The sequence below is a fragment of the Homo sapiens genome, chromosome X, assembly GCF_000001405.40.
Source record: "Homo sapiens chromosome X, GRCh38.p14 Primary Assembly".
Classification (NCBI taxonomy): domain Eukaryota; kingdom Metazoa; phylum Chordata; class Mammalia; order Primates; family Hominidae; genus Homo; species Homo sapiens.
In genome coordinates this window covers 79,141,624-79,155,735 of record NC_000023.11, presented here as the reverse complement: position 1 = coordinate 79,155,735, position 14,112 = coordinate 79,141,624, and the positions used below count along the sequence as shown (strand labels likewise).

Below are 14,112 nucleotides of genomic sequence, written 5' to 3'. Positions count from 1 at the left end.
GCTTCAGTTGAGTAATCTTGAACCAGTTGTTTTGTTTCTCTCTCTCTCTCTCTTTCTGTTTCTTCCTCATGTAAAATGAATAAAATAATAATGCCTACTCCTGGGGAACATTGTTAAGATTACATGAGATATCATAAGTAAAAACCAGTAAGCCAGGGCTTGGCACATAACAAGTGCTCAATAAATACTACATATCCTTTTCTTCTTTCCTCTAGCACCTAGTAAATAGAGTACTAGACACATTAAAACTCCTTAATAAATCCTTTTAAAAAGACCTGATGAGGAAAAAATAGTGATCAGGATTAAACACACAGTAAAGTTATTTTTAAATTATTTTTTGTCCTTGAGAGAGGGTAACAAAGTGGGAGAAACAGACCAAGTAGAAGATGAGTAACCAAAAGGCAGGTCTAGAGGCCCAAGAATCCAAAGCAGCTTATCATGGGGACTAGGAAAGAAAACCTAGGCAGTAAGTTACAAAGTGACAAAGTTATATTCCTTGCTGGTAGTTTGTTGTTTGTGAAAACAGAATCAGAACAGTACCACTTTAGTGTGTCAGATATGTGAGATCAAACTAGAGTAACAGTCTGCAGGGACAGAGTTTAGTGACTGAGCAGGGTCACAGATTAATCATAAACACTAGACAAATGTGGCTGGCTAGAAGCAGATTTTATTGAAATCGTGAATATTCTTAGGCACTGTTTAATTTTTAATCATTTAATTTGTTATACTTTATGGACAGGAGTCAGGTGAGATATCAAAGAATGGATTTTGTTTTAGAGAGTCACTTCATTATTTTTTTTCCAGGATAGCCATATACTTCAAAACTCTTCTGCTTTACTTGAAAGCTTTTTCAACTCCCAAGACAAGTCATTTAAGCTGAGAGAAACAGGGTGTATGGAAAATAGCACTAATCAGAGACATATGACACCTACCTTTTAGTCTTGGCCTTATCACTAATTAGTGGTGTGACCTTGGGAATGTCCCTTCTATCTCTTGACCTCGGTATTTCATCTGCGGAATGAGGGAGCTACTAGATTATCCCTGAGGTTACTTTGTGCTCTTACAGTCTAAGTTTAGTAGAAAGTTTGAGTAGACAGATAGGCCCAATTCTTGATAAATATTGGGGAATATACAAAGAATCCCTGTGTTCTTCCTTCCCAGTGCATTATCCTTCAGGCCTGACTGAATCCTCACACCACAAGTTTAACTGCTTGGGCTCCATATCCAATCCAAGACCCATAGTCCTAAGCAGACTTTTCTAGTTGGCACAGATTTGTTCCTCTCACAGACTACTCCCCATCAAAATATCCCTTATAGCGAGTGTTTCTACTTTTATGCTTAAAACTATTGCGATGTGATAAGTGGATTTAAGCTAATGCATTAATGAGAGAGAACTAGAAGATAGTATCCAGGACATTCACAGGGAGTGTGCAGGGATTTTCCTAGCAGCCTTTCTTAAGTAAAAACATGGGTACCATTGCAGATCTAGACGTAAAGGATCACAGTAGCATGAAAGGAGAATAGGGGAGAGGTTATAGTCAGCTTGAATTCCTCATATCATACACTGGAGCCTTTTCAACAGCCTATGTATGGAGTAATTCAACAAGCTCAGTCAGCGCATATTTAATGAGCACCTTGGGTAGCATGTCGTATCCATTGATAAGTTCAATGGTGATGTAGATAATGATTAATGAGGCTTATAATATTTTCTCATTTTCTGGAAGAACTGATTCAGCATTTTAAATAAAAATTAGACTTTATTAATCTTGATTAAACCTTCACTAATTTTGTATTAATCTCTATGAATGCTCTGCTGTTTTACAAGCAAGGTAACTGAGGCCCAAAGAAAGTAAGTAAGACTCATCCTGAGTTATATAACAAGTTAATGGCACAATCAGAACTAGAACCTAAGTTTTAATTCAAAAGGCCTTTGTTCATTTCCTCACATCACACTTCCTCCTTACTACACATTCTATACTATGTGTGTAGCTATTTCTCTTTCCTTCATATGGTCAGACTATCTAAATGTAAGCTTTATGTTGTTAAAGACTGTCAATTTTTTACATCAAATACCAGTGTACAAATCACCAGAAACAAGCGTCCCTTTGTTTTTTTCTACAATGGTATAGAAACCAATATTCTTAACTGTATGCAGAAGAAACCACAACCTATTCCTGTCCGTTCCCCATCTCTCTCTCTAACTCTACTCTACCCCATATAGAAACACAGATATTCTCTTTACATTGAGTTCATTCATTTCTGCTGGCATTCAAGACTGGAAGAAAGTGACTAAAATAAGACGAATGTTATTTTTACTCTTTGGCCCATTTCCTGCTGCTCCAGTTTGCTAAACTATCAAGCTAGGACAAAAGAATGGAGTGATGAGATGAACAATACCTTGCTGTAAATCAAATCATCACGCTAGATATCACAGAAGATAAGAAGAAATGAGACATAGCCCCTGCCCTGGAAAATCTAGCAGAAGTGACACAACAGAAAAAAAGAGAGATGTGTAAAATCAGTTGCTAAATTGGGCAGGTCAAATGCTAAGCTTTGTAGAAAGCTGCCATATATTTAGAGTAGAAACATACAACAGACCTTAAAGTGGTTGGACTATTCCATACAGCATTTCTGAAAACAGCGATTCACTGATCCATAAAAGTTATGCCTCTCTTTCTCATTTATTCAGCTGCAAGCCTTAGAACTATTTTGCTCCTCATAAGCACTTCAATCTGCAAGCTTAACCAGGCATAATGCTGACATGTGCAAAGGGAAATTTGTCAGGTGAAAGGCAAGTACAACTCAATGTTCCCAGTGTGATTTCAATCCAGTAGCACAAGGTATTTTGCAAATTGTACAGAGGAGCTCTGGTAAAAGAAATACAAAGTACCTGTTCAGTATCTGCATGGTGATCCATACCCTTAAGAGAGAAGTGTCCTCAATTATACCATTTTCACAGATAGAGAAACTGAAAAATGAGGGAGCTTAGTACCTTCTTCAGGTTTATACTTCTAGTCAGCCCCAAAGGAACATGAGTTCAAACTTGTGATTGGTGCCTGTTGAAAGCATAATTTAGAAGAGAGTTTAGAAACTGATGTCCCAAGGTTCTTCCTCTATTTCCTCTTGGAGAGGGAGCACAGACAGAGGAGGTGAGTGTGTAGAGAGCAAAAGAATGTGGTGGGAAATAATTAGGATTATCAGGAGACAGACAAGCCTAAAACTTTGTTATTGTGTTTTTGTTCTTTTAACTCAAGATTCGATAACTCACTGGATCAGATGGTTACCACACTGAGCTCCTGAACTTAAGTATGCGATTAGATTCCAGTTAATTCTCTCTGTAATGTAGCTGCAGAGTATGCTCTGAAACAAGAACTCCAAGTCCTTGATCCTAAGGAAAAAGCTTACTCACAAATATAAAAATAGCTCTATCGTGTTTTCTGATGGTTGATGTGTAAACTTGATTTGCATATGAAGGATCCCATGTATTCTCCCAAATTCGAATTCCTTATAGCCAGTATAGAATGCACTAGGAAGCCAGCAAACAAGTAAACACATAAATTAATCTATTGTTGCAGACCTGTTTAGGAGAGCCTCTGTGTACAATTTTTTGAGCCCTTTCCTTTTGTTGATATTAACTTGCATCTAAAACCACACATTGTGCTCTAATCTCTAACAGAGGCTCATATCTGGAGTTCAGAACCTTTGTTCTTAAACCTTAGCATGCCATAAATTAGATTATGTAGAATAAAGCAAAAATTTTAATATGATTTTCTTTTTACATTATGTCAGCTTAAGTATAGATGCATGGTGATTCTGTTTAAGGCAAAAAGTTCCATGAAGTCACACACCTTCTTCCTAAATCTCTTTTGTATAATCAGAATTAATATGCGCTAGCTTATCCTCCTCAAGTAAATAAGCTCTAAGAGGGCAGGGGTTATATCTTGTAGAAACAGTAAACACATCATAAAGAATGGTTGAAGATAAATAAAACATTTAATTTTTGCTTTTTACAATTCTCAATTTTATTCATTTTATTCCCTATTCCCCGCCTCCTTTTCCTTTTCACCTAGCCTAAATCCAATAAAAGGACAGCCTGTTTTGAAATGGGTACATCTTGACTTCTTCTATTACCAACTCTCTTGATTCTCAAGTGGAAAGGGACAAGATAGTGAGTTATAGCTTCATCGTATAGAGACAGCATAACATAAAGAAAGAGCTTTGACAATCAACAGAACTGGGTTTGAAACTCAACCAAGATAGACATGTTTATTGCATAGATTGTGGTGGTGGTTTCCCAGGTATATATTTATCTCCAAACTCACCAAGTTATATATATTAAATATACACATCTTTTTGTATGCTAATCCTTCCTCAATAAAGTGGTGTTGAAAAAAACAGTTGTATATCACTGGGCAAGTTATGTAATTTCTTGAACATTAGTTTCTTAATCTGTAAAATGGAGAAAGCAAATGTAGTTGTTGTCAAAATGATGTAAGGCATCTTGCCCAATCCTTAGTATATCGTTAAGTGTACAATTTTAAAAATATATATTACTTTTGATGATAGAACACTAAAAATAAAAGAGCCAGTAGTAGATAAGCTCAAAAAACCTGCTGAATCTTAGATTCTGAGTAGCTGCTTATATATTTTACTGCTTTTTCTAGAGTTATTACTAAAAATATACTTGATTTAGAATAGAGTATAAGCTCTACAGGGAAAAAAAATCCATATCAAGGATGGTCTGAATCTGATGCTGACCCTTAGTTCATGGTGAGACTTTGGACCTGCTTTGAAACTCATGTACAGAACTGTGAGAAAGCTCTGGAAACTCCTAAATGTACGTCCAAAATCCGAAATCATATTAGAAAACTATTATTTTCCCTTTGCTAAAGAAACTAGACTGAACTCCCGGAGATGTGGGAATAGGAAAAGGCCAAAGGCTCAGAATTCCCCATGAAGAAAATAAAGTCATTATGCTTACGAGTGAGACTGAGCAAACCAAACCTAATTTTCATTCTAAAATAAATTGTTACAATCTAAATATAATTCCTCACTCAGGAAAGGGTTATATGAAGTTAAATTTTTTATTTTGAAAACAAATTTTTAGATATGAAACCAAATCAATTCTATCTTTTTAATTAATGTGCTGAAATTTTGCAGAAAAATATAAAGAACTGATCACCACTTCTTAGAAGTATTTCATATTATTTGACCCAATATGACAAGTGGGTTAATGCATGCAAATGTTAAATAGATTAAATTTAAAATTTTCAAAGCAACATCATACAGTCTTTAGAGGGTCTATATTTGGGTGATTTACTATTGATTTTCATTTCTATTGTGTGTCCAAAATTTTTCCAATGAGTGTCCAGGAGTGTCACTAAATGAAAATTATGAAGAGAAGATTGCATCTCTATGTATTGTATTCAAGAAGCCCACACAACAGAGGTTCCACAGCATTTGAGCAGGGGCCAGCCTGATTAACCACCATGCCCATATTCTTCAGATATTGATTTAGCCTATAGTTTTACTCTGGCCATTCATGTTTGGCCCAAGTCCCAGTCAAGGAATAACTTATAACCTGGGGTGATCAACTTTAATAATTTTTCTCTATTGGACTATGTCACAGATATTTTCAAATTTAATGATTCCCAGAGATCAGTTAGTTTTAAAATTTCTGAGTAAATGTTCCCCTGGGAAAGACCTAAACAGACACAAAGATAATATTTCTTAATGTAAAATTCTTAAAACTGTAACTTAGAACTAAATCAGTCATTAACAAGTAATTATACATCAAATATAATCCAGGTTATAGTCTCTATTCTGAAAAACAGCCCTTTTCTCTCTGCAGGTTACAGAATGTCCTCATAGTGTTTGCTTAACCAAATTTCATGGCAAAAAAAAAAAAAAAAAACTGAGGGAGGTTTAATCTAGTCTCCATGATCGAAAGAGCCTTTCAGCAAGATGTCAGAGCAAAACTGGGTATCCCCAAACCCAATATATGATCACTCACTCAGGATAACTTGGGTCACAAATCTTCCTTCCCTAAGTAATCTGGATGGATTATCTAGACCAGCCACTTTACAGTCTAGTCTGTTATATTCATACTCTGCTTCAGCTAGGTAGAATTCTCTTTTTAACCCTAATAAACTTTTAGAAGTCATAGCATTTCAGAGAGAAAGGTATTACTGTACCAGATGTCTTGATATGCACTGTGACTTTTGATACAAAACTCTATTTCTAGGGTCAGTAGTTCTTCCTCAGAGAGACTAATGCTAGGTCAAGTCACTGAACTTTCCTTTGTTAAATTGAGTTAGTTTTATGAAGTATTACAAAATCAGTACTACCTAGCTTTAACCCTAACTTTCTTAGAAGAGAGAGAAGTCAACGGATACATTTATAAGGTATAAAAATAAAGGGGAAAAAAAGGTAAAAATAAAAACAGATCCCAATAAAAACTGGACCAAAGAATACAGAAGCAGAATGCTATTGTCATAAGGATGTGGAGAAAAAAGTCAAAGAAATATGTCTTTAGAAAATTAAATGAGTAAGTCCTTCAGTATGAAAATTAATAGGGGCCATGAAACTATAGATTAAAATAAAATGTAAATTTAAAAAAATAGACTCTGTGGGCTCTTTCATCTCATAATATATTTTGCTCATAATATTTAATTGTAAAAACATATGTGAGAAATAATAAATCAGTCTATCTTCTACATGTTATTCATTTTTCAGCACACCATTTGGCCTGACACTTCAAATAGAGTAGACACCTAAAATAACACACTTTTAGTTTTAAAGAAGTAACTTATAGGTCATCAGTATTACCTAAAATAGATTAAATACTTTGAACAGTAAAGGATTTCATCACTGTCATCCTATACTTAAGTTGTAAGAATTATTTTATCATACAGAAATATGTCATTGGGGCCAAGTGCAGGGGCTCACACCAGTAATCCCAGCACTTTGGGAGGCCAAGGTTGGGAGATTGCTCAAGGCCAGGAGTTCCAGACGAGTCAAAACCCTGTCTCCACAAAAAAAGTACAAAAATTAGCCTTGCATAGTGGTGCATGGCTATGGTCCCAGCTCCTTGGGAGGCTGAGGTAGGAGAGTCATCTGAGTCCGAGGGGATAAAGTCTGCAGTGAGCTGTGATCATGCCACTGCATTTCAGCCAAGGTAACAGGGTGAGACCCTGTCTCAAAAAAGAGTCATTGATTTATAAGAAATATCTGGTAACATGTGATTAGCTTATAAGAAATACTGAATCTCATCTGCCAAGTAAAGCTGAAAAAAATTTTAGCTAAATAATAATAACAATATTAAAGCCTTTCATCGTTGCTGAGAATGTACAGAAAACCTTATTTTCTGCCCTAAGTAGTGTGACATTTTGTAAAAGCTTTTTGAAGAAACAAATATTATGTCAGGAAGTAGGAAAGGAGTTGATGGGCACTTTTGACTTGGTGAGATATTTGCATATATTTTAGGTTTCCAGTGAGATAGTATTTATGCTATCCAAGACACAACTGAGTCTGAATTGGCAACCCTGGCTCCCACGGTGGGCACAAGTCATGCTTCCGCATGACCCACATAACTGAACCTGATAATGGTTAAATTTTAGTTTTCTCACTAGATAACTAAATGTAGTGAACTTCTTGACCCATAACCAAGTTGCAGAGTCTATACAGACTTGATTTTGGCTAATATCTTGCATATCTGATTATTTGTCAGGAGCTCTGTCTGCATCTTGATCTCTGGCTGCTGCTAATGCAGCTGTTGCTGCAAAGGAAAATGATGCCTCTGGAGCACACTCTTTACCTTTCAAAGACTATACCAGAAGAACCCACTTTAATTTTCAGATCTCAGATAGCACTCGGTTATATGACAAACATTAGTAATATTCAAGCCACTAATTACTGTATTCCTTTTCAGGATTCACATACTATCACTTACTGTATATATTTATCTTCCTCACACTCTCACCTTAGTTGATCAACCGCATATGTCTGTTTCTGTCAGACAAGATACCCTAAAATCTTCACTGCTTTCTCAAATCTGGAATCTCCTAGACCTCAGGACCTCCTGCATACTCTCTCTTGTCTAATGAATTGGCTGTATTGTTGCTCTGACACTCAATACAGCACATACACTTCCAGTACATGGCCAGGTCTTTGTTAATCTTGTATTACAGCATCTAGTATCAGTTTGCACTTTGGGTTTTTTTTTTTTTCTATGAGCACAGTAGGAAAAACTCTTTCCTATTCTTGGAAGGAAACAGTGGTAAAGCCCAACAACTCAAGGTCTGTTACAATATTAGGGCCTTTGGGAGAAACCTGAAGTGTGCCTGTTATTGAGAGATTCTTGAATGCTCTCAAAATGAAATCTTTTAATGTTTCCCAATGAATAATGCATGTCTCTTAATCCACAAACCCTGATAGTCAGCAAGGAGAAATGAACACAGCACTGGACAAGGTATGAAGAGACCTGGATTCTACCTTTGTCTCTGTCACAGACAGACAGAGATACTTGACCCAGTCACTTCACCTCTACGAGTCTCATTTTTTCCAACTGCACAATGTGCACTATGAACCTACTTTACTTCCCAAAGCATAAAGGTCTCAGATGTTTGCCATTGCTCTGAAAGTGACAAGGGCTGAATCTGTTTCTGACAATTTCTTATTCTCTGACTAGGGATCTAGAGACTGATTCTTGAGACCTATAGCATAAAAAGAAGGTTTTGGGTGGGGAGTCACTTTAATGGGCAAGGGAAGAGGCACCGTCTGTGCCCTGCTTGTATCAGGATTGGGTGGAGATCAGGAAAAGGAGTTTACTTCCCTTTTTGGTTCTGGGTAGCTGATTGGTGCCTAAAGTATCTATGAGCGGAATGCAGAAGGTGTGTTTCTTTGTCCTCTTCCTTTCAGTTACCTAGTACAAAGGGGCATAATGAAGTGCATTCATTCCTAGGGGTCTTCAGGTGAAATTCAGTGACATATTGGGAGCAGTCTATGACTCATTTTATGTTTATTCATCTTTACATTATTCAGCATCGTATTAATCTGGCCCCAACAAAATAAGTACACTAGGTGGTTCCTGTCTCACACAAATATTATTACAAACATATAACAAAGCAAAGCAGTACATGTGTTCACAAGTGCAAAGCACATTATCTGTAATTAAAAGTATATCCTTCTTGGACACAAACTTCTTGGCATATCCAAATGTTTGCCAGTGTGACTGGTATAATCTTGCCGTGGGTGGAAGAACTTTAATCCTCTCTATAAGTTTAATGTTTTTGTGTTTATATCTGATATCTACAGAAGCTAAAGGAAAAACAAAATACTCTTTGCTGAATGATCCAAAGCTCTCTAAAGCATATAGTTCTGCTTATTGAATAAAACTATAACATTTTCTTTTATGAAAAGTTTTGAGCAGTATAAAATAAAGTCCATGTACATTACTGTTGACAGGAGACAAAGGAGCAGCAAAGTTATTTGAGATTTAATCCTGGGTCATATTGTACCACATCCCTCCTCATTTCTATCTCTCTCTCACATAGGAATTCATGACTTTTTTCTCTTAGTCTCTGAATGCAGCTCCTAGCAGTTACACACCATTTATAGTATCATCATATGGTTTAAAGTCAAAAGGCACTGTCCTAAACATTTTCTCTTGGAGCACAAAACAGAGACAACACGCAAACAAGGAAATAATTTCACTTACATTTTGTCAAAATAAGTCAATTTTGAGTATCTAGAAATGTAAATTAAATTCAAAATCATTTTAACCATTGTTGATTTTTTTAATGTGCTGATTACTTACTATCGTAAATAGAGCTTATCTATGAAAAACAGAGCAACTGTGCCTGTTATCTTTCTTATTTCCTCTTTCTCTCATTATAAACAAGTTTTCTTAAACGTGTTTGAAAACAGAATCTTTATATCTATCATTAATTACAATAATTAACTTTTACAGTGAAAATAAGTAACTTACACAAGCTGATAGGAACATGCATTTATATTAGCTAAGGTCCTGAAATATTGTATCTCTCATTTTTCAAATAACCATTCATTTTGAAAAGGACACAAAGTTAACCAGTTTAATTATGCAGCAGATAAAAATAGCACCCCCAAAGAGTTATAGCAAAGAGTAGATAAAAATTATCCTGCACCTTTATGTAAGCAACTCTACTTAATACAAAACAGGTTAAATTGCAAATGTTCACAGGACTATTTTACTCAATATCAAATGAGCTAAACACATTATTAAAAATCTCTCCATGTCAAACTTATATTTTCCCAAGTTTAAAGTTGCCTCCCTCCTCCGGCAGCCCGTCATACAATTATTTTTGTTTGTTCAAATACCAACGAAATGACATTTAAGGATGGTCCAAGTTCATTATATCCATAACCATGCTTAGACTTGACAAGTTGTACAGTTCCTTGTGTGAAGAGTCCAGTTCTAGATACTAAGGGAAAAACGCACAGACGAGAGCTAATTATGCATAAATAATTAGAACCTACCATTTCAGTTTCTTTCTGTTTTCTTCAGAGATCTCCAAAGAATTCATGTGATGGCCACTCCAAAAAGGATGCTACTGATTTGTGCATCAATTTAGGCTGCCTGTTCTGAAAATAACCAATCCAATTCTCCTTCACTAGCAAAAGGAGAAAAAAAAGAAAGAAAGAAAGAAAGAAAGAAAGAAAGAAAGAAAGAAAGAAAGAAAGAAAGAAAGAGAGAGAGAGAGAAAGAAAGAAAGAAAAAGAAAGAAAGAGAAAGAAAGAAAGAAAAAGAAAGAAAGAAAAGGAAAGGAGAGGAAGGAGGGAAGGAAGGAAGAAGGAAGGAAGGAAGGAATGAATACAGGAGAGAAGGAGGGAGGGAAGAAAATAAATAAAAGTAAAAATAATACAAAATAAAAGAAAGCCAAAAGAAAAATTATGAAAGCAAAAGGAAAAAAAATTAAAATTATCAGGAATATCTAACCACTATCATGTTGAAAAGCATAGTAGTAAGATGTCAGAGTGAAATATGCAAGCCACTCTCTGTGTACACTGAACATTTCCGTTTTCCAGGGGGCAGCCAGCATGCTCTTTTGCTTTCATTCTCTCCGCCCCCGCCCACCCCCGTTAATGATGCAGGGCTACACTACAGGCTGCATGTAGAGCCTGCAAAGCTTCACACTTAGGAAAAGAAATTCTCCTTTCTATTTCGAGGGCCACAGTGCATTGTCTTCTGTGGTTGCACTCAGCTTTGAGCTCATGATAACACACAGCCTATTTGCCTATGGAGTCCTTTGCTGCAGCTAGGAGCCCTCGAGTTGCTTGCATAGATAGTGGGCCACCGCAATCTTAGGGTGATCCTTTCTCACAGCCTCTCACTTGCATTCAGTTATCAAAGTGAACATTCTCAAGAATGTTCCCTAGAAAGCTGCCAATAGAAGAGGTGAAGGTGAGCATGATCTCTGCCTAGGGCATTCTTGAATACACAAACTTCTGAAATTCTGACATTGAATTAAATACCCCACTCCTTAAGAAGAATCTGGAGCTATAATCCACCTTCCACTTCCTGTCCACCCACTTCCCATTACCCTCAGGGTCCCTGTTACCAAGAAGTGCAGGTAAACCCCCATTTCTTCTCAGTAGTTAGGTAGGATCCAATGAAAAGAGGTTGGTTTTCTGCAGCCCAGACCCATTGCCACAGGCTCTTGAAGATGGTGTTCAAAGGAGTCCCAGAGTTCCAGACCCCTGAGACCAGTGCCACACTGTATTAGGCACCTAACACCCCCCTCCCCACTCCTAAAGGTAGATGAACAGGAAGCAACTGGAGGTAATACCTATGATTTGGGTAATATCTCTAGATAAGAGTAAAGGGACTTTTCACATAGGCCATGGAAGAAAAAACATGTTATTGCAGGTACAGTCTCATGCCAGGACATACCTCTGTGGTATATTATAGGGAATACCTGGAGGGCTCTCCACCTCAAAATATCACCTCCACTTTGCCTGAAACACCAGTCCTCTAGAGGCAAGAATTTCTTTCTTCCTGAAGTCTTGATTTTAAAATTCTCATTCTCCTAGAAATATACTTATTTGAAAACCTTGATGTGAATGAGTTTAGAACTGTAAAGGTAAGAGTACATGTTGAGAACAGGATATAAAGGAAAACTGAAGAGATCCAACTATGGGAAAACTGAACTGCCAAAAGCAAAATAACAATTTTGTCATAGGCTAGCTTTAGTGAGAATTGTCTTGAGCAACTGGAGAAAAATATAAGGGGAAAAAGGTTTTTTTGTTTTGTTTTGTTTTGTTTTGTTTTGTTTTGTTTTGTTTTGTTTTGTTTTGTTTTTGACAGATTCTTGCTCTTTCACCCAGGCTGAGGTGCAGTGGTCCGATCTTGGCTCACTGCAACCTCTGCCTCCTGGGTTCAAGCAATTCTTATCCCTCAGCCATCTGAGTAGCTTGGGATTACAGGCATGTGCCACTACTCCCGGCTAATTTTTGTATTTTTAGTAGAGATGGGTTTTCACCATGTTGGCCAGGCTGGTGTTGAACTCCTGGCCTCAAGTGATCCACCTGCCTCAGCTTCCCAAAGTGCTGGGATTACAAGCATGAGCCACTGAGCCCAGTCAAAGAGTAAATTAATCTAAATGTGTATTGGGCCAGACATGTTTACAACAGGCAGAAATATATTGCCCTGGCATTGTCTTCTGATTCTGTGTGTCGGGGTCTGGCAGATGATGTGGGTAATATTATGTTTGTTTGTTTACAGAAATATTTTTTCAACTTGCCTTAGTGTGTCTAGAGTTTATTGTGATGTGCTCTTTCCTCACACAGCCTTAGCTCCATTCAGCAAACATATATTGAATAACTCTTAAGTGTAGAGCAGTGGAACAAATTCAACTGGGGAGGTGAGAATAAAGGACAGAGTGGCAGAGGGCTGATGGCAAAGGAAAGGATGCCATGTCCCAGAAACTCTTTAGAATCCAATTAAGCAGGTTATATATATATATGTATGTATGTATGTATATATATATATATATATATATATATATATGTGTATAATGCAATTGCCCCAAATATAAGACAACATGAATATAATAAGGGCCTAAGAAAGTCATATCTAGTGCTGTAAGATTTCAGAGAAGTCAAGGATCTCAGAGAGCTAGAGTAATGAGTACAGTTTTATTATAGAAGTCAGGCAAGTCTTCCAGGAGAAGAAGGGTTTGGGCTGGGCCTGTTAAGAACTACAAGATTTTAGTAAGCAAAGAACAGAAATATTATTTGTATTTATTTAAACCCATAGCTCTTGCCACGCTTTACTGGCTCACCTCTTGGTATCTTCATTTTCCTCCTGATTGCTTCCACCAAATAAGCTTTGGATGCAGGCATGTCTTTCTCCTTTTGTGGAACACACATCTTTTGAATTTTCAGCCTCAGATAGAGCTCACAGGAGCCAAATTGCATGTGTTTTGAAATAAAACACCCAGTGGTGAAATTCCCTGAGTGATACTGCTCTTATCTTTTCTATTTAAGTCAAGAAGCTTGAGCCTGACTAGAACCAAAGGAAATAATCCTATAGGAACTTCTGAACTTTCACTCCAAGTTGGTTCAATTATAGCATATCAGAGCTGAAGGGGATATGAGTGATGTTATAGTCTAAGCTCTCATTTTAAAGATGAAGAAAGTAAGAAAGAAGGAACCCAGTTCAAGTCTCACAGTTAATTAATGATGAAGTTGGGATCTGAAACAGGGTTTTTTGACTCTTAAGAGAATGTTTTTACCAAAATACTTTCCATCTGGCCAATGTCTCATGGCATCTATGAAATGGTGATTTATTTGTAGTTACATTATCTGTGGCGAGGGTTTTCCTTTAGTTGCAGAGGCAAGGTCAAATATTAAATGGACTCAAAAACTATACTTCATGGCTCTGCATATGAAGTATATGCATGGCTCTGCATATGAAGAGCCATGGCTCTGCATATGAAGAGCCATGGCTCTGCATAGGAAGAGTCCATTTAATATATATATATATATATATATATATATATGCAGCTTATTTGGTGGAAGCAATCAGGAGGAAAATGAGGATACCAAGGGGTATATATATATATGAAGGAG

General features: G+C 36.7%; 1 protein-coding gene across 3 annotated transcripts in view; it reads right to left on the bottom strand.

Moving 5' to 3' along the window:
• Positions 1-11,048, bottom strand: part of GPR174 (G protein-coupled receptor 174) — a 30,631-nt gene extending 19,583 nt beyond the window's left edge. For 2 of the 3 annotated variants that reach the window (NM_032553.3, XM_047442580.1), the window contains exon 1: positions 10,519-11,048. The gene's annotated coding sequence lies outside the window, so the exon portion shown is untranslated. Of the gene's footprint in view, positions 1-2,890; positions 5,896-10,518 lie in introns of those variants that run through there. The other variant, XM_047442579.1, reaches the window with a different exon arrangement.
• Positions 11,049-14,112: the final 3,064 nt, after the last annotated feature.